Source organism: Homo sapiens, chromosome 7 (genome assembly GCF_000001405.40).
Source record: "Homo sapiens chromosome 7, GRCh38.p14 Primary Assembly".
NCBI lineage: Eukaryota > Metazoa > Chordata > Mammalia > Primates > Hominidae > Homo > Homo sapiens.
In genome coordinates, this window is record NC_000007.14 from 119,782,125 (window position 1) to 119,803,115 (window position 20,991).

At 34.7% G+C, this 20,991-nt stretch overlaps 1 long non-coding RNA gene across 4 annotated transcripts in view; it reads right to left on the reverse strand.

Annotated features, from left to right (window-relative positions):
• Nucleotides 1-20,991, reverse strand: part of LINC02476 (long intergenic non-protein coding RNA 2476) — a 287,946-nt gene that overhangs the window by 162,695 nt on the left and 104,260 nt on the right. For 2 of the 4 annotated variants that reach the window (NR_131960.1, NR_131961.1), the window contains 2 exons: nucleotides 18,692-18,750; nucleotides 160-233 (listed from right to left, as the gene is read on the reverse strand). This is a non-coding gene — a long non-coding RNA (long intergenic non-protein coding RNA 2476). Of the gene's footprint in view, nucleotides 1-159; nucleotides 234-4,827; nucleotides 5,536-18,691; nucleotides 18,751-20,991 lie in introns of those variants that run through there. The other 2 variants (NR_131963.1, NR_131962.1) reach the window with 2 other exon arrangements.

Genomic DNA, 20,991 nt, shown 5'->3' on the forward strand with positions numbered 1-20,991 from the left:
ACAGCATTGATATGTAATTTCCTTTGTCTTTTGTCTTATACTTGCCAGTCAAACATCATTTTGCAAAGTTACTTGGTGTATTAGTCTGTTTTCACACTGCTATAAAGATACTACCAAAGACCATGTAATTTATAAACAAAGGATGTTTAATTGACTTACAGTTCTGCATGGCTGAGAAGGCATCAGGAAACTTACAATCATGGCAGAAGGGGAAGCAGGCACATATTACATGGCTGCAGGCAAGAGAGAGGGACGAGTGAAGGAAAAACTTCAAAAAACATAAAATCATCAAATCTCATGAGAACTGAGTCACTATCATGAGACCTGCATAGGGGAAACTGCCTCCAGATCCAATCACCTCCCTCCCTCAACACATGGGGATTACAGGTCCCCCCCTCAAAACGTGGGGATTAGAATTTGAGATGAGATTTGGGTGGGGACACAGAGCCAAACCATATCACTTGGGTGACTTTACACCATTTTTCTACACTCCTTTAATTAGGTTATATTATACACTTCTAACAGTTGGATTCTCTTGTTATAGTCTACCTTCTATGCCAGGATCCTCTGACACCTATTTTGACTTTTATTTTTTAATTGCACATACTAATGTTCACACTTTGTGCTGAAAATTTCTATGGATGCTGAAAATGCATTGAGTTATATTTACCACTCCAGTAACACAAAAAATTAGTTCTTCCATTCTAATAAAACCCCCTTCTCAAAATTCACACCTTCACAAATCCCTGGCAAACACTGATCTATTTTACATATCTATAGCTTGCCTTTCACATAATGCCATATAAATGAAATCATACAGTGTGCAGCATTTCTCTGGTTTCTTCCACTTAGCACTATTAATCTAAGATGCATTCATGTTCCTCCATGAATAAATAACTAACTTTTTATTATTGAATATTATTCCATTGTATATTTGTACCATAGTTTATACATTCACTCCAGGTTTGGCTTCTAAAAATGTTTACATACCTACTTTTGTGTAGGCAGAATTTGTTCAGTATGTTGGATAAATACATAGGAACAGGAATACCAAGTATTGTGGTAGGATTATTTCTGAATATATAATAAATTGACAAACTCTCTTTCAAAGTGGCTCTACCATTTTTGCATTCCCACCATCAATAAATGTGGATTTCTCTTATTCTGCATCGACTCCAGCAATGAACATCATCGTGTGATTTTCTACAGCCATTCCAATAAGTGGATAGAGGTATTAAATTGTGATTTCAACTTGCATTCCTCTAATGATAAATGATGACATGGCCATCTTTCCTATGTTTATATGTCATCTGTATAATTTTGGTGAATGGTTTGTTCATACTTCTTGCCTAATTTTAATTGGGGTTTTCATTTTCGTATTGTTAAGTTTTAGGGGTTTTACTAAATCTTCTAGATAAAAATTGTTTATTAGACATAAGAATTGTAAATATTTTCTTCAATATGTATAACTTTTATTTTTTCTTGCCTTATTTGCACTAGCTAGGACTTCCAGTACAATGTTGAAAAAGGGTAATGCCACAGGATATCTTTGCCTTCTTCTTAATATTTGTGGGTATACTCGTCAGTATTTTGGGTCAATTTGGCAAGATATCATCCCCAGATATTCCACCAAATACTAATCTGGGTGTTATTTGAAGTTATTGTGTAAGTATGATTAACAGCTACAATCTGCTGACTTTAAGCAACATAGAATATCCTTGATAATCTGGGTAGACCTTATCCAATCAGTTGAAAAACCTTCAGAGCAGAACTGAGGTTATGTGAAGGAAGAAAATATTCTGCCTGTAAAGTATACCGTCAGCTCCTGCCATAGTTTCCAGCCTGCCCTTCCTGAGAGCCTGTCCTTTCTGGCAGCCTGCCCAATGGATTGCAAACATGCCTCATCAGTCCCCACAATAGTATAAGCCAATGTGTATAACACTATCTATCTGTCTGGCTGTCTATTTATCTATGCAATATCCTAATAGTTATTTTTTTTCTGGTGGAATCCTGATTAATACAAAGGTATGGAATCCTCATTAAATATTATTGTGACAACAAGCTTTCAATTTATGCCATTTATTAAGCTATTTATGAAACATTTTAAGCTAGGTTTGACTTCAGGATTATTCATAATTTATTTGTATTTTTAATAATTTTATAATTGATTAAAAAAATCCCATTATAAGCATGTTGGACTTTACAGTCTCAATCTACTTTGTAGCCATGTATGAGATATCAAGTTCTAAATAAACATATTTCAATAGAAGTGCTAAATAATTAATGACTACATACCTTCCACCAAGAGGCCAGCCACCACATGGAAACAAAGAACGTTAATCTTTATCTGTGGTCTGAGCTAGTCTTCCCTGAAAAGTTGACTACTGCTTACAGGAGCCTTAACACAAGAGAAGGGTTTCCTTTATAGCAGGTTCCAAACAAGCCAGCAAACAAATAAAGCATTAAAAATTTTGAATAAAAAAATAACTGTAATGAATTTTGAGATACAATTTAAATCTCTGGCAAAGAATTTGTATTTTTAATTGAAATAGTACTGCTTTGCAAAATGTATTAACATCTGTTATGTACAGGCTATTCCTAGGTTATCTGAATATTTTCATTGAAAGCAAGCATAATTTGCAGTTTCTTCATTGTTGATTTTTAAAATTAATGATTATATATAATTGAATTAATATATGTATATAACTTCTTTATAATTAAGTTATTAAAATATTGGTATCAAGTATTTTAATTGATATGGCAGACATAAAACTACTACTAAAATTGGCTTTAAAAAATTGTAAATGGAAATATAAATGTCAAAAATACCAATTTTTTGAAAAAGTGAATAGTCATTACTCAAATAGGCAACAAGATTAGAGGTTCTATATCATCCATTTTATATCTATATTTTACTTGTGACTTTACTGGAATGTATTGTCCTTGTTATAATTTTGTCCTGAAATAATTTTGATTCACATATGCATATAGGTTCTCATATACCCTAAGTATTATACATATAAATTGTGTATTATTGACCCACAAATTAAATGAGGTCTCAGTCTCAAATATTTCAGAAGTACTAAGGTATGTCAGTTATCTGGGGGAAAAAGGCTCATACTTAAATGTCCATTTAAAATTTTTCAAAAGTGTTTCCTTCTCATTCTACAGTACAAAACATGAAAACCATAATTTTCATCTCTTGAAATAAACATTTTTAAGAAGATAGCATTTCAGGTTTGGACAATATATCTTGCATGTCATTTTGCATAAGATGTACTGGTTCCATAGCTTCAATTACATTAAAGGTAAAGCTATGGAACCAGTACATCTTATGCAAAATGACATGCAAGATATAACATATTGTCCAAACCTGAAATGCTATCTTTTTTTAATTAAATGATGCATGAGATTACATAGATTACAAAATGTATTCATCTCCACTTTAATATTGTTTATTTAGAATTCCTTTACTAAACCTTACGTTTAAATCTTCTCACAATTTGGACATATTTTTGTATCTTCCCAAATTAACTATCAACTAGTTATTGCACACACAAAACATATTCCTTGAGAATTTGTCCATGTATTTTTTTCTACTTTATACATCCAGCTTCTCAAATATACCCACTCCTGTTCCAACTCATACTCAAATTCTCTCCATATTACCAGACAGAAATCAAATAAAATCAAGTTGCATAAAGCATACTCCTGAGTAAAGGGAGAGCTCATTAAGTTCTTTTATCAAAACCAGTACTTTATAATTTTGTACTACACTTATGATGCACTTCCAACTTTTTATTATAACCATTTGTATAAAAAATTCTTATACTGTACAATTTTTCGGGCAGTTTCTCAAATTGCATGCTGTATTCTACTGCATGGGAATGGTGACACAAAATGAGTAAGAATTAAAGTACATATAGATATTGAGGCAAGATCGTTTGTGTAGTTAATGATAAAAATGACTATATCAAGCAGCTGTTGTATACAGAGTTATGGCCTAAAGGTTATTTACCTTTAGGCCTAAAGGCCTAAATATTTCTAGGGAACAAGGATTTCTATCACATGTGACACTTTTAACTCTTTTTGTCTTTCATTTTTATTGTATTTTATAATTTCAACTTTTACTTTAGATTCAGGGAATGCAAGTGTAGGTTTGTTAACTGGGTATATTGCAGGATGTTGAAGTATGGGGTACAATTGTTGCCATCTCCCAGATACTGAGCATAGTAATCAAGAGTCTTACAATCTTTGTCCCCCTCCATTCCTTCCCTCGCTATTAGTCCACAGTGTCTATTGTTGCCCTCTTTATGTCCATGAGTACCCAATGTTGTGCTCCCACTTTAAAGTGAAAACTTATGGTATTTGGTTTTCTGTTCCTGTGTTAGTTCACTTAGGATAATTACATCCAGGTGCATTCATGTTGCTGCAAAAGACATGATGTTGTTCTTTTTGTAGCTACATAATATTCCATAATGTATATGTACTACATTTTCTTTTTCCAATCTAGCATTGATGGGCACCTAGGTTGTTGATTCCATATATTTGCTATTGTGAACAGTGATCCTATCAACATACCTGTTCATGTATCTTTTTGATTGAATAATTTAATTTCTTTTGGATGTATATTCAGTAATTAGATTGCTGGACCAAATGGTAGTTCTGTTTTAAGTTCTTTGAGAAATTGCCAAACTGCTTTCCACAGTGGCTGAACTAATTTACATTCTCACCAACAATGTATAAGCATTCCCTTATCTCTACAGCCTCCCCAGCATCGGCTGTATTTTGACTTTTTAATAATAGCCATTCTGATGGTCTGAGATGGTATCTCATTGTGGTTTTGATTTGCATTTCTCTGATGATTAGTAATGTTGAGCATTTTTCAATGTCCACTGGCCACTTCTATTTCTTCTTTTGAGAATTGTCTTTTCATGTCTTTTGCCCATTTTTTAGTGGGGTTGTTCTTTGCTTGCTGATTTGTTTAAGTTTGTTATAGATTCTGAATATCAGACGTTTTTCAAACGCTTAGTTTGTGAATATTTTCTCCCATTCTGCAGGTTGTCTGTTTAATCTGTTGATAGTTACTTTTGCTGTGCAGAAGATTTGTTAGTTTAGTTATTTCCACTTGTCAATTTTTTTGTTGCAACTAATTTTTGAGAATTTAGTCATAAATTATTTCCCAAGGCTGGTGTCCAGAATATTGTTTCCTAGGTTTTCTTCAAGGATTCTTATAGTTTTGAGTTCTTACATTTAAATATATTTAATCCATCTTGAGTTAATTTTGGTCTATGATGAAAGGAAGGGGTCCAATTTTATTCTTCTGAGTATGACTAGCCAGTTTTCCCAGTGTCATTTATTGAATAGGGAGCAGCCCTTTCTTCATCGTCTCTTTTTGTTGACTTTGTTGAAGATCAGATGGCTGTAAGGTTGCAACATTATTTCTGGCTTCTCTATCCTGTCCCATTCGTCTATGTCTCTGTCAGTAGAATACCTTCAAACTGAATCCAGCAGCACATCAAAAGGAATAAGATCCTGTCATTTGTAACAACATAGATGAAACTGGAGTTGATTATGTTATATAAAATAATCCAGGAACAGAGACAAACTTTGGATGTTTTCATTTATTTGCAGGATCTAAAAATCAACACAACTGAACTTATCAAGATAAATACTAGAATAATGGTTACCAGAGGCTGAAAAGGGTAGTGAGGGATGGTGGAGGGGACACGGGAATGGTTAATGGGAACATAAAGTAGAACAAATGAATAAGATCTAGGACCTGTTAGCACAACAGGGTGACTATAGTGAATAGTAATGCAATTGTGCATTTTAAAATAACTAAAAGAGTATAATTGAATTGTTTGTAACACAAAGGGTAAAATGCTTGAGGAGGTGCATATCCAATGTAACCTGATGTGACCATTACACACTGCATGCCTGTATCAAAATATGTCTTGTACCCCATAAATACATATACCTACTATGTATCCACAAAATTTAAAAATTAAATATATTTATAAATACATATATGTACATATTTAACACCACTGAACTATACACTTAGAAATGGTTAAGGTGATACATTTTATGTTACATATTTTTTACTATAATAAAAACTCTATTACTGAAGCTTTCTCAAAACTTCCTAAAATTGTAATAAATTTAAATCGGTAAAAATGAAAAAAAACTGGCCATACTTCCCAAAATAATCTACAGATTCAGCGCTATCCCTAGCAAGCTACCAACAACATTTTTCATGGAACTAGAAAAATGTATTCACATAGAACCAAAAAAGAGCTTGGGACTAGCCAAAGCAATCCTAAGCGAAAAGAACAAAGCTGAAAGTATCATATAACCCGACTTCAAACTATACTATAAGGCTATGGTTATGGTAACCAACACTGCATTGTACTGGTTTATTTTTTAAAAGCAAAACAACAACAACAACAATAACAACAACTTTGAAATGTATAGCCCAGGACAACAACAACAACAACAACAACTTTGAAATGTGTTGCCCAGGTAATTAAAAACATATTAGATTTATTTATCTTTGCTGCTAATAATATTTATTCCAATATTTTGCCACCTTTAGAAACCCTTCAATTACTCAGAACTATTTTGTTATTTGCAGCCATGAATAAGAAGTTTCTCAGAAGATACATTTTTCATTTTCATCACAATTTTTAGGTGAAATAAACTCCCCTCTGCCCCATAAAACACCCTCTCTAGAACCAAAAACGAAATAATAGAATAACTTTTTATGATGCAAATTAGGTTTAGTTGAGATAAAATTGATACTTTGCTGTGGAACTCCTAGATAGTTTGAGCAAACAATTGTTTACACCAGTTTATAATGATACAGTAAAAGGGGTTATTTCTACTACAATTAAATAAACCATTCTTGGGTCTATCCTTCTCACAAACAAAAGTCTTTTTCTAGTATTACTTTTTCTCTGGAATGTTTCTATATTTTTGATATACATCAACCAAAACATCACTGCACACAGTATTCTAGTAGACTGGACACATGGGTTTATGAGAGTAATATGCAAGTTGTTTTGTTCATAATGCTCCTTGTAACAAATCCCACCATTTTGTTGGCCATTTTGGCTACAGCAGCTCATTGGAATGTGGTCCTTCAGAAGAGTCTGCCAAATCCACCTCTATTTCATCTTCTAGGTTTGTTACACATGGCTCAATGCCTATTATAATCTAAGTACAGCATACTTCTGACTATTGATTATAACAATGTTCCCTCTCTAAAAATACCTTAAATGTATTTCAATAATACTATAGTGGGTCTAGGTATTACGAGTATTTTTCTAAAATCAAATAAATGATATAACACTAAATCACTCCCTGTGATCTAAGTGCTTTTTGGGTTTGCGTCAAATTTATTTTCACTGGGATTTGGTTTAAGACCATAAGGTCTACTTTTTAGAGGAAATACAGGATCACCAGTAGCTATCAAAGACACAGATTTTCTCTTCAGGCCTCTGGCTATATCCCACATTAGTCAATATCAAGCAAAAAACTATGGCAAGATATTTTTTAAAAAGGAATTGAGTGCTTTATTGCTGAACAAGTATGTGATCGAGTTTTTAAATACAATATATACCAATATTGTTCTTACTGTCTACAATCTAAAATGACCTAAAATGTCTTTATAGTCCATCAATTACACCATTATTTATCATTTTCATTTATACATAAAAAATATTTCTTTTCTGATATGTGCTCTGAAATGAGCTATGAGCAAGGAATACAATTCCAAATAAGTAATTTCATTTGCCCTCTTGAATTTAAAGGTCTAATGGGAGAGATAGCACCATGAGTAAATAATTGCTAAAAGGTAATAAATGTTATCTTAGAAATTTGTACAAGAATTACAGAAGGTTAGCAAAGGGATCCACTAACTTCCATAACATAGGCCAAACAGAAAACATGAGAGAAGAAAAACAGTGTAGAACCTATTTTACACATGAGATATAGTGGGGTTTAGAAAAATAAGTTATGGATTCTCAAATATTTTAAATATAAGGAAAGTTATATTTGTATTTGCATTTATGTAAGTGTATGTGGGCACATGTACATATATGTGTGTGTATGGTGTATTTTTGTTATTTGAACCACTTACAAGCAAAATTTCAATACATATGAGATTATTGTTCTGTCAGTCTAATCCATGTACATTTCCCATTTTAGGTTCGGTAGCATCCTGTTAACTTTCACTTAAAAAATTAGTATAAGAATGTTGCTTAAACTTCTGGGGAACTCATCGAGACATCTTCTTAAAGTTGCAATCTAAGTCTACCTTGTGTTGATATAACAGAATACCATGATTGGGTAACTTATAAAGAAAAAAATATTCATTAGAGTTCTTGAAGCCAGGAAGTCCAAGGTCTTGGAGCTATCTAATAAAGTTCTTGTTGCTATGTCATCCCATGGCAGAAAGTGAAATAGCAAAAAAGTCCATCTGAGAGCAAGAGGGTAGAGGAGGGTGAGCTCACTTTTATCAGAAATTTATTTCTGCAAAAATGTCATTAATCCACTCATGAAGGTGGATCCCTCATGGCTTAATCACTTCTTAATACTGCCACAATGGAGATTACATTACCACATGGCTTTTGGAGGGGACATTCAAGCCATAGCATATTCTTAAAAAGTACATTCATTCTAATCATTTATGGGATCAAAAACTGTATATGTTGTGATCCATTTTCTTAAGAGAGTAAACCCAATGAAAAATTACATGTGATAAGCAGATAATGGCTTAATATGTTATTTCAACTTCCCAGTATTATTTTAATTCTAATAGTGCCTAAATGCTTTAAAGGAAGAAATAATTTGCAAATTCAATAATGTGGTCCATTTTGGCCTATATATACTCTCCAATCAGATTTTACAGTCAGCCATTTTTAAATCCTTTTTGTCTAGAACAAATAATAGCCCCATGGGGGAAGTAGTGAGATGGAGTAGAAAGAGTGCTTATCTTGGTTTAAATCCTGGCTCTGCTTCTTACTAGATGTATGCTATTGATCAATGTGGTTAAACATCAAATTATCTAGAACCCTTCTTTCTCTTTGGATATGGTATATGTTTAAAACATGAGAATTTAAGGAAGAAACAAACGAGTTTCATAGTGTCACCAGTAGTCTTTTCCTCTACACTCTTTTTCCGCATTCTAATTTTTTAAGTATTTCCTGATCATTAGCTTTCTTCAAGCTAAACCTATATTATGACATGCTTTGCGGACTACCTTTCTAACTCTCCTTCACTCTCATTATCTGATAGCTTTCTTTTTAAGTCTTTCCTGTATGTCTTCCTGCCTCACATGTATCTTTCCACAGTAATGTTTATTTTACTAATAGATAACACAAGGCAGATAAAGGTAACTGAATTTTGGATGTAAGCTATTTTTAACTGGGGTGAGATGATATCTCATTATTGTTTTGATTTTCATTTATCTGATGATCAATAATGTCAAACACCTTTTTACATGCCTGTTTGCTATTGTATGTCTTCAAGCAATGCCTATTCAAATATTTTGCCCATTTTTTGATCAGATTAATAGGCTTTTTCCTACGGAGTTGTTCGAGCTCCTTATGTATTCTGGTTATTAATCCCTTGACAGATGGGTAGCTTCCAAATATTTTCTCCCATTCTGTGGGTTGTCTCTTCACCTCGTTGCTTGTATCTTTTGCTGTGCTGAAGCTTTTTAACTGGATGTGATTCCATTTGTCCATTATTGTCTTGGTTGCCTGTGCTTGTGGGGTATTGCTCAAGAATGTTTGCCCAGATTAAAGTTCCGGAGATTTTCCAAAATAAGTTTTCTTTTAGTAGTTTCATAGTTTGAGGTCTTAGATTTAAGTCTTTAATCCAATTTTATTTTTGTATATGGTCTCATTTATTCTTCTGCATATGGATATACAGTTTTTTCAGCACCTTTTATTAAAGAGTCTGCTTTTTCCCCAATGTAAGTATTTGGCACTTTTCTCAAAAATGGTTTCACTGTAGGTGTGTGGATTTGTTTCTACGTCCTCTCTTCCGGTCTATTGGTCTGTTTTTATGCCCGTAACTTGCTGTTTGTTGTTACTATAGCACTGTAGTGTAATCTGAAGTCAAGAAATGTGATTCCTGAGTTTTGTTCCTTTTGTTTAAGATAGCTTTGGCTATTCTTGGTCTTTTGTGGTTACATATAAATTTTTGGATTGTTTTTTCTATTTCTCTGAAAAATGTTTCTGCTGTTTTGAAAGGGATTGTATTGAATCTGTAGATGTTTTGGGGGGTAGTATGAACATTTTAACATTTTAGTGATTCTTCCAATCCACGGTGTCTGCTTCAATTTCTTTTGTGATGTCCTCTTCAATTTATTTTATCAGTGTTTTACAGTTTTCATTTTACAGAAATTTCACTTTTTTGGTTAATTCCTAGGCATGTACCCTTGCTTTTCTGGTTTTTGAAGATGCACCATTAAATTTTTCATTTGAAGTTTTTCCTCTTTTTTGATATAGAAACTTATAGCTATAAAATTCCCTCTTAGTACTGCTTTTGCTGTATCCCATAGATTTTGGTATGTTGTGTTTTCATCATCAATTGTTTAAATAACTTTTTCAATTTTTTTCTTAATTTCTTGACTTACCCACTGGGCATTCAAGAGCATATGGTTTAGTTTCTGTGTGCTTGTAAACTTTCCAAAATTCCTCGTTATGAATTTCTAGTTTTATTTCATTGGGGTCAGAAAAGATGATTGATATTTTTCATTTTTTTGCATGTTTTCAGACTTGTTTTGTGACCTAACATATGGTCTATCATTGAGAATGATCCAAGTGCTGATGAAAAGAATGTGTATTCTGCAGCTCTTGGATAAAATGTCCTGTAAATATCTATTTGACCCATTTGGTTTATACTGTAGATAAAGTCTGATATTTCTATATTGATTTTCTTTCTGGAAAATCTGTCCAATGCTAAAAGTGGGGTTTGAAGTCTTCAGTTATTATTGTATTGGGGCCTATCTCTCTCTTTAGCTCTAATGATTTTTTTAATACATCTGGGTGCTCCAGTGTTAGGTGCACATGTATTTAAAATTGTTATATCCTCTAGTTGAATTGGCCCCTTTATCATTTTATAATGACCTTCTTTGTCTCTTCTTACAGTTTTTGTCTTGAAGCTTATTTTGTCAGATATAAGTATCATGACTTGTGCTCTGTTTTTGTTTCCATTGATGTGGAAAATCTTTTCCTATCCCTTTTTTACCAGTCCATATGTGTCTTCACAGGTGAAGTGTGTTTCCTGTAGGAAACAGATCAATGAGTCTTGTTTTTTCATTCATTCATCTAGTATATGTCTTTTAATTGGAGAATTTAGTCCATTTACATTCAATTACTATAGATAAGTAAGATCTTACTCTTCCCATTTTGTTATTTGTTTTCTGGTTCTTTTATGATCTTATGTTGCTTCTTTCTTTTCTTCCTGTCTTCCTTTAATGATGGTGATTTTCCCTGTTAACATGATTTAGTTTCTTGCTTTCTATATTTTATGTATCCATTGCATGTTTTTGGTTTGAGGTTACCATGAAGGTTATTATGATCTTATAACCCATTATATTAACCTGATAACAACTTAACTATTTGCATAAACAACAAACCAAACAAGGAAAAAGGAAACTAATAATAACTCTATGCTTAAATTTCAACCCCCTGCTTTTTAACTTTTTCTTGTTTCTATTTATATCTTATTGTGCTATGTCTTAAAAAGTTGCAATTATTATTTTTGACTGGTTCATCATTTAGTCTTTTTACTTAGGATAAGAGTTGTTTACACACCATAGTTACAATGTTATAATATTCTGGGTTTTTCTGTGTATAACTATTACCAGTTAATTTTGTACCTTCAAGTGATTATTTAGTGCTCATTAATGTCTTTTGCTTTCTGACTGAAGTATTCTCTTTAGCATTACTTGTAGGGAGACCTGACATTGGTTAAAAAAAAAAAATCTCTCAGCTTTTGTTTGTCTTGAAAAGTCTTTTAATTATCCTTCTAGTGTGAAGAGTATTTTCACCAGATATCCTATTCTAGAGTAATAGTTATTTTTCTTCCACACTTTAATTGTGCCATACCCCTCTCTCCTAGCCTATAAGATTCCATCTTAGAAGTCTGCTGATGTATTGGAGCATCATTGTCTGTTGTTTCTTTTCTCTTTCTGCTTTTAGGATCCTTTCTTTATCTTTGACCATCGGGAGTTTGACTATTAAATGCTTTGTGGCCGACTTCTTTGGGTTAAATCAGCTTGGTGTTCTATAACCTTCTTGTAATTGGATACTTATATTTTTCTCTAGGTTTGAGAACTTCTCTGTTATTATCCCTTTGAATAAACTTTCTACCCTTATCTCTTTCTCTACCTGCTTTTTAAGGCCAGTAACTCTTAGATTTGCTCTTTTGATGCTATTTTCTAGATCCTGTAGGTGTGCTTTATTGTTTTTTACTTTTTGTTCTTTGTCTCCTCTGACTGTGTATTTTCAAATAGTCTGTTTTCAAGCTCACTAATTATTTCAATTCCACTATTAAAAGACTCTGATGCAATCTTCAGGATACCTGTTACATTTTTCGGCTTCAGAATTTCTGCTTGATTCTGTTTAATTCTTCTAATCTCTGCTACATTTTTTTGATAGAATTCTAAATTCTTTCTTGGTGTTCTCCTAAATTTCTTGAAGTTTCCGGAAAACAGCCATTTTAAATTCTCTGTCTGAAATGTTGCATATCTCTGTTTCTCCGGGATTGGTTCCTTGTGCCTTATTTAGTTCATTTGGTGATATCATGTTTTCTTGGATGGTGTTGATGCTAGTAGATGTTCTGTGGTGTCTGGGCATTGAAGTGTTAGGTATTTATAGTAGTCTTTACTCTCTGAGCTTATTTATAGTCATTCTTCTTTAGCAGAGTTTCCAGATATTTGAAAGGACTTACATGTTGTTATCTAAGCTCTATCTGCTTTAAGGGGAACCCCAAGCCCAGTAAAACTGTGGTTCTTGTAGACTCATAGAAGGACCATCTTGATGGTCTTAGACACGATCTGGGAGAATTATCTGGATTACCAGGCAGAGACTGTGGTTCTTTCCTGTTTCTTTCTCCCAGACATACAGAGTCTCTCACTCTGTTCTTAGCCACCTAAAACTGCGGGTGGAGTGACATAAGCACCCTCAGGGCCACTCTTGATAATACTTTGCTGGGTCAGACCTGAAGCCAGCACAATTCTGTGTCTTGCCCAAGGCCCACTGTAACCCCTCCCTGGCTATTGCTTATGTTCACTCAAGGCCCTGTGGCTCTGCAATTAGGGAGCAAAGCCAGCCAGACCTGGGCCTTCCCTTCCGAACAGTATGGTCCCTAGACACTGGGTGGGCCTAGGGGTGCTGTCCGATAGTCAGGGACTAGGGTCAAAAACCTTAGAAGTCTACCTGATGTTCTATTGTATGCCAGCTGAGCTGGCACTCAAGTCACAAGACGCTGACCTTCCTAATCTTCCCTTCCCTTTTATTTTTTTTTATGTATCCGATATATTTTATTTTATTTTTATTATACTTTAAGTTTTAGGGTACATGTGCACAACATGCAGGTTAGTTACATATGTATACATGTGCCATGTTGGTGTGCTGCACCCATTAACTCGTCATTTAACATTAGGTATATCTCCTAATGCTATCCCTCCCCCTCCCCTATCCCACAACAGGCCCCGGTGTGTGATGTTCCCCTTCCTGTGTCCATGTGTTCTCATTGTTCAATTCCCACCTATGAGTGAGAACATGTGGTGTTTGGTTTTTTGTCCTTGCGACAGTTTGCTGAGAATGATGGTTTCCAGCTTCATCCATGTCCCTACAAAGGACATGAACTCATCATTTTTTATGGCTGCATAGTATTCCATGGTGTATTTGCCAAATGTTCTTGATCCAGTCTATCATTGTTGGACATTTGGGTTGGTTCCAAGTCTTTGCTATTGTGAATACTGCTGCAATAAACATACGTGTGCATGTGTCTTCATAGCAGCATGATTTGTAATCCTTTGGGTATATACCCAGTAATGGGATGGCTGGGTCAAATGGTATTTCTAGTTCTAGATCCCTGAGGAATCGCCACACTGACTTCCACAATGGATGAACTAGTTTACAGTCCCACCAACAGTGTAAAAGTGTTCTATTTCTCCACCTCCTCTCCAGTACCTGTTGTTTCCTGACTTTTAAATGATCGCCATTCTAACTGGTGTGAGATGGTATCTCATTGTGGTTTTGATTTGCATTTCTCTGATGGCCAGTGATGATGAGCATTTTTTCATGTGTCTGTTGGCTGCATAAATGTCTTCTTTTGAGAAGTGTCTGTTCATATCCTTTGCCCACTTTTTGATGGGGTTGTTTTTTTCTTGTAAATTTATTGGAGTTCATTGTAGATTCTGGATATTAGCCCTTTGTCAGATGAGCAGACTGCAAAAATTTTCTCCGATTCTGTAGGTTGCCTGTTCACTCTGATGGTAGTTTCTTTTGCTGTGCAGAAGCTCTTTAGTTTAATTAGATCCCATTTGTCAATTTTGGCTTTTGCTGCCATTGCTTTTGGTGTTTTAGACATGAAGTCCTTGCCCATGCCTATGTCCTGAATGGTATTGCCTAGGTTTTCTTCTAGGGTTTTTATGGTTTTAGGTCTAACATTTAAGTCTTTAATCCATCTTGAATTAATTTTTGTATAAGGTGTAAGGAAGGGATCCAGTTTCAGCTTTCTACATACGGCTAGCCAGTTTCCCCAGCACCATTTCACTTTGCAGCCACCACCACCCCAGTACAGAGAGTACTGCCAGATTACCACAGACGTTTCCTTAATGCCCAAGGTCCTTAAGTCAGCTGGTCATTGAATGCTGCCTGACCTGGGACTCACCCTGGGCAGTGGACTCCCCTCTAGCTCAGAACAGGTCCAGAACTGCCATTCAAGAGTCAAGTCCTAAAATTGGGGCCCCCTAAAGCCCACTTGGTTCTCTATCTCCCTGTGGCTATGTTGACACCTAAGGTGCAAGACTAAGTCCCCTTTAATTTTCCCTCTGTTTCTCTCAAGCAAAAGGAGTTTTGCCCCATAGTTACCACAGCTGGTAATGTACTGAGTCTCATCTGAAGCCAGCATGTCTCAGAAGCTTATCCAAGGTTCTCAATGTAGCACTTGAGTATTGCTGCTGGTTACTCAGGGCCCAAGGGCTCTTCTGCCAGCAGGTGATGAATGCTGCCAGGACTGAGTCCTTTCCTTCAAGACAATAGGTGACTTTCTGGCCCAGGTGTGTCTAGAAATGTTGTCTGGGAGCTAGGGCCTGAAGTGTGGGCCTCAAAGTTCTGACATGTTCCCTATTCTGCTGTGGTTGAGCTAGTATCGAAGATGCTAGACAAGGTCCTTCCCACTCTTCCCTCTCCTGTCCTCAAGCAGAAGGGTCTCTTTTGGAGCCTTGATCTATGTAAACTGGAGTTAGGGAAGGGGTGGTACCAGCACTCCCTTGGCTTCCCCAGCTGGTGTTTCAGTTATGTCACGCACCCCCTCAGTCCACTGTTTCTGGGCCTAGTTCAGCTCAAGGACTGACCTAGGAGTTGCAGTCTTTATGGACTAGACTGGTTTTCAAGTTTACTTGGAGACACAGAGTGCTGTAACTATCGGTGATGGGGTTTGCAGGCACTCAAGTTTGGAATACTGCGACCAGGGATTCCCCGCTGGCTAGGGCTGGATTCAGTGCTCCCCCAGTGGGCAGGTGTTAGCTGGGTTTGGTCTGGTTTTCCCTTCTGCTGTAACAGGACAGGATCTGCTCTAACAGGACAGGACAGGATTGAGTTCAATGCCTCACAATTGCTGTGTTATATTTCTCCTAGTATCCAGGGAAACTCTCCACACCACACCACTGCTGCTACCAAGGGTGAGGGAGGGGTGGCCTCAGAGATTTAGGACTGCTTTTTCCACCTCTTCAGTTCCTCTTTCGGTGATACGCAGTTAAAACCAGGTACTATGAGTGCTCACCTGATTTTTGGTTCTTATGAAGGTGGTTTTCTTTATTTTTATTTTTTTCTGTGTAGATACTTGTTAACTGGATGTTCTTGTGAAGGGCATGATAAATGGAGCTTTCTATTATCCCATCTTGCTCCACCTCTATCCCTACATCATTTTTTATAAGAGACTTGCTTATCCATGGATTTTGGTATCCACAGGGGTTCTGGAACCAATCCCCAGTATACAGGGGTGACTGTATGCAAATCATAGGAAATGACAAAGCCAATCAAAGATGATTTCTCTCCACTGAGAGAGGTGTGCTTGGTACTTTTTTCAAACATATTATGCTAGTTATTATTACCACATGTGCACAATCCTAATGACAAATACTTTAATATCATGGTTATCATAATAGCATTTTACTAAAAGCATGTGCATTATTAACTTGTACACAGATATACTTCCATTTTCATTCTTTCTAAGCGTTGGTGGTAAGTGAATCAGTTATTTTGAAAAAAAAAAAAAGTGTATGTCCATGTTTTGTTTCTTGTTTTGTTTTGTTTTGTTGCATGAACAGATGACCAAAGTAGACAACACGGGTTTGAACTTCAAGGGTCCAATTATGCATGAATTTTTTTCTAACCAAAGAGGGATTGAAAATATACTGTTCATGGGATGCAAACCCCACATAGGCAGAGGGGCAAATTTTCACTTAAGTGGCTCCATAGGGTCACCTGTGGGACTTGAGTGTGTGTGGAATTTAGTCTACACAGAGGTTCTGGAGTCAATTCCATGGGCATACTAAGGGATAGCTGTATTTAAAAGACTGAACTTCATAACTGAATTAAAGACACTGTCCAAAACACAGAAACATTATATAAAAACAAATACTTTTTTTTAAGAGTAGTTACAGTTTCTCCGATTTCACAAAACCTTAGTATAGAGGATTTTAAGTACATTTAGAAAAATTGTCCTGATTTTACTTCCAGAAGTTTTTTCTTTCTCATTTACAAATGAAGAAGCTAGCAAGCTAATAATTTACCTGCTATGATCTCCAAAGAAGTCACAATTTAAGGATGCACATTAAATAAAGTTATCTCAATTCTCCAACCTGAAGGGACCAAGTAAGGAAAAATATACAGGTACCATCTCATATGTGGTCTGCTGCTGGAGGAAGTAATGTAATATACGAATTTTGGTGACATCCAAGGAATATGTGGCCACACCTGACTTTCAAACTACATGTCATTTTGAGCATCACTGATCTCCTAATAAGCCCTTTATTACCATGCCACAAATTGGGATTAAAAGGCAGTCATAATCACAGAATATTAATGGAGTTATACCTCACCCCAATCATATTGCAAACCTCATTGTTTTATTAGGAAAATGACTAAACAACATAGGTCTATATGATGGAATGTAGTAGTTTTTCTAATTGGTAAAGTGTACTCTGCCAAGGATTTCTAATTCTGCCAATGAAGAATGATATCCTGGCACATGTGTTAAAAAATCAGAGTTGAAAAATCCTTAACCTTAATGTCCCAAAACTGTTTCTGTGATTTTTATATTAGAAACACGGATTTATTATTACAATAAAATGCCAATTACTAGAAAGTTTGCTTTCTGTATTTTTTTTAAAAAAGAACAAAAAAGAAAATTCAACTAATTACTCAAAGAGAAAGCAAAATAAGGAATTTCTATTATGTTACTACCTAAAATTATTTCAAATTTATTGTTTTTTTAAATAATGAATTCCAGTAGAATTTATACTTGTTTGAAGACAGGGCAATCAGTTCATCTTCCACCAAAGTACATGCTGATATCTTAAAACTTCAGGTTGGCTTTTTTCCAATATAACATACATCATGCTGTTAAACCAGTCACAGGGTAGGGCATTTATTTATGTCCAATTGATTTTTCACTTTAGAGTGGCCAGCTGAAATCTTATCTACATTTAAATATGAACATTTAAAGTCCTCTGACCTGTAAAATTTTAAATGATGTCAGATGAATACTGGGAAAAGTATTTTCCATATATGCTAGCACAGCATTTTGTTATTTTTTATTGTGTAGCTTAACATATTAAATTTCATTTATCTCCTTTTCCTATCCTTTAGACCAGGGGTGTCTAATCTTTTGGTTTCCCTGGGCCACATTGGAAGATGAAGAATTGTTGGGGACCACACATAAAATGCACTAACACCAACGACAGCTGATGTGCTTTAAAAAATCGCAAAAAATGCTCATACTGTTTTAAGAAGGTTTATGAATTTGTGTTGGGCAGCATTCAAAGCTGTCCCGAGCAACAGGCAGCCCGTGGGCCATGGGTTAGACAAGCTTGCTTTAGACTCTGTTGTTCAGGAGCAGGTAAAACCTTTTATTCATCATGTTATCCCTACTCCAGAGGTTGGCATAACTAGGTACTTAGTTTATGATTAAAGAGGAAACATTTTAAAAATTCTAAATTTTATTAAATTATTTTTCTCTCCAGTCACCCCTTACACTTGTAAAACACTCGCTACGTACTATAAAAATCACTTTGCCTCCTTTAAGTCCACAAAATACTCACATTTGGATTAAATCTATATAATATAAGGAGTTTTTAAGGTTCAATACTTATCTGCTTTTAACTTTATGCTTCATTGTGAAGATCAGTATCATTCTAAGTTCATCATATTCATCATACCTCTTTTTAATGACTTCTGTTACGTATTCCAAATGCTTCTGTTTTTCAGTCACATTTTGCTAAAAAAAAAAAAAAATTACCTTAGACATTAGTCACTATTTTACCAGTATTTCTCATTCAGGAAATGTCAAAGATACCAATGCAAAGTAGAAAGCATATTCACCAATAAAAATTTCACTTCTCTTACTTTCTCCACCCAATAACACCTTTTCTTCTACCTTTCCGAGATCACAGCTGCTACAACTAGATTCCATGCTACAGGGATTCTGAAAGAGGTCACTGATCCTCTTTCCACCTGGACTCCCAATCTTGTTGACTTAAATCTATATTACCTGATACCCCCATATTTTTCTTAGTAGTCTTGTTATTTATCTGCTCCCTTTTATTTGACTGATATTTTAATGCATGTAGGTCTTTCTTGACTGCTTTGCCTTTAGAATATTTCAGACTTTTTCTAAATAGAACTGCCTCATTGTCATCAATGTAAAATCTAGCACTTGAGGAGATATAAGCATGATATCATCTGTCTGAATATACGCTCAACATACCACAATAGTAAATCATAGAGACTAAGATTTTTTATTTTTTTGGTTGAAAGTAATACTATCACTATACTTGTCTATGTGAAACTTCTGTGTGGATTTTCAGTTTTCCACATCAGAGCTTTATATAGAATTTTCTTATTATAGAAGATAAAAGCCACGAGGATTCTTATATTTTTATCTTTTGAATGATTTTTATATAGTAAATCCTTCGTGACACTGAAGAGGATAAAAGTAGTACCATTTTGACTGAAGTGAGATAGACAGGGGTCCCTGAAGCCTACATTGCATTCTCATATTGGCCCTCCTTGTTTGTCCATTGGTCACTATCTTGTTTAGTTTGAATAAAACTAGTGTCTTTGGATATTTACATTTGAAGAAAACCGAGGTCCAGTGATACGCAAATAAGTTACAGAGCTGGAATTGAAAATGTTTCCTGATATGCAGTCTAACATACAATCTATGGATGTTCATGTAAACAGGTATTAATTTTTAAGTTAGTATCATTGGTCTGAATCTCCTTATGAGTATCATTCTTCCTTGTTCTGTCAAGTAACAACATTGTTACCATAATACTAGAAAAAGCAATCATTTAGTGTCAAGTTTGAATTGTCTACTGTAATATCATAAAAATATTATGCATCTAAACCATCAGATATAATTCTGATGAAATACATTAACTTACATTTGTTTAGTAATCCTCATTTAAAAACAAAACCAAACCTTTATGTTTATTACCTTTTCTCTCCTCACAATAATTCTGAGAGTCAGTTTCTATTACGCCTATTTTAAAGATTGTAGGAGGCAATCATAATTTCATACATTTTGTACGTTGCAATGTTTAGACTCAAATTCAGGAAAGAAGCAATCTCATTGCTCTCACCAGTATACGTATTATACCAAAGTCAATTCTCGTTTTCAGGTAAGTGCAAACATTCACTCATACACAGAGCAGTGGAATTTCCCAGAAGCTTTTCCTCCATCGCACTGAGTTCAGGAATGTAGTTCCACTTATGTAAGATGAGTAAGCTCTAGAGATCTCCTGTGTAATAGTGTGCCTATAGTTAATGATATTGTATTATACACTTAAAATTTTAAAGGGATAAATCGTCGTTTCCTTACCACAATAAATAAAAATTAGAGGAAAAAGGAATGTCAATTGCTTATCTTAATACTTTATATCCACTGGAGAATAAGTTACAAATAAAGATTTTGATCTTAAAAAGTAAAATGAATTTTAATTACACTCACATGTGCACGCACACACACACACAGACACACACGTGCTATCTCCTCATGTCTAAGAGTAATCTTACATTGTTATAAATATCTGCGGACTTTTTAAACTTGTTTTCTTTAAGCTTATTTCTGTTCTGAGAATAAGCAATAAAGTGAATAAAAGCTTGGCAGGAGAAAAAAAATAAACCACCTATGTTGACGTTATATATAGTCCTTTAGTCTTAATTCTGGCCATTTAGACAAGTTTTATGGGATCAGAAGCATGTGTAGTTTCTCTTAATATACTTGTCATCCTCGCATAATTTTAATAACCAAAAATATAAATGCTATAGAGAAATGAAATTGATAGCCTTTTTGTTATTCTAGCACTGAATAACAGTCTAGCTTTAAATGTCATTATTAAAGTGTGATTTTAGAGATGATCTTTCCTGTGTCTGACAAAATTAGCCAGAAGTAGAGTGACTGGGACAATTTACATAGACAAGCTTCTTATGAAGCAAATTAGCATAGAAAGTTGAA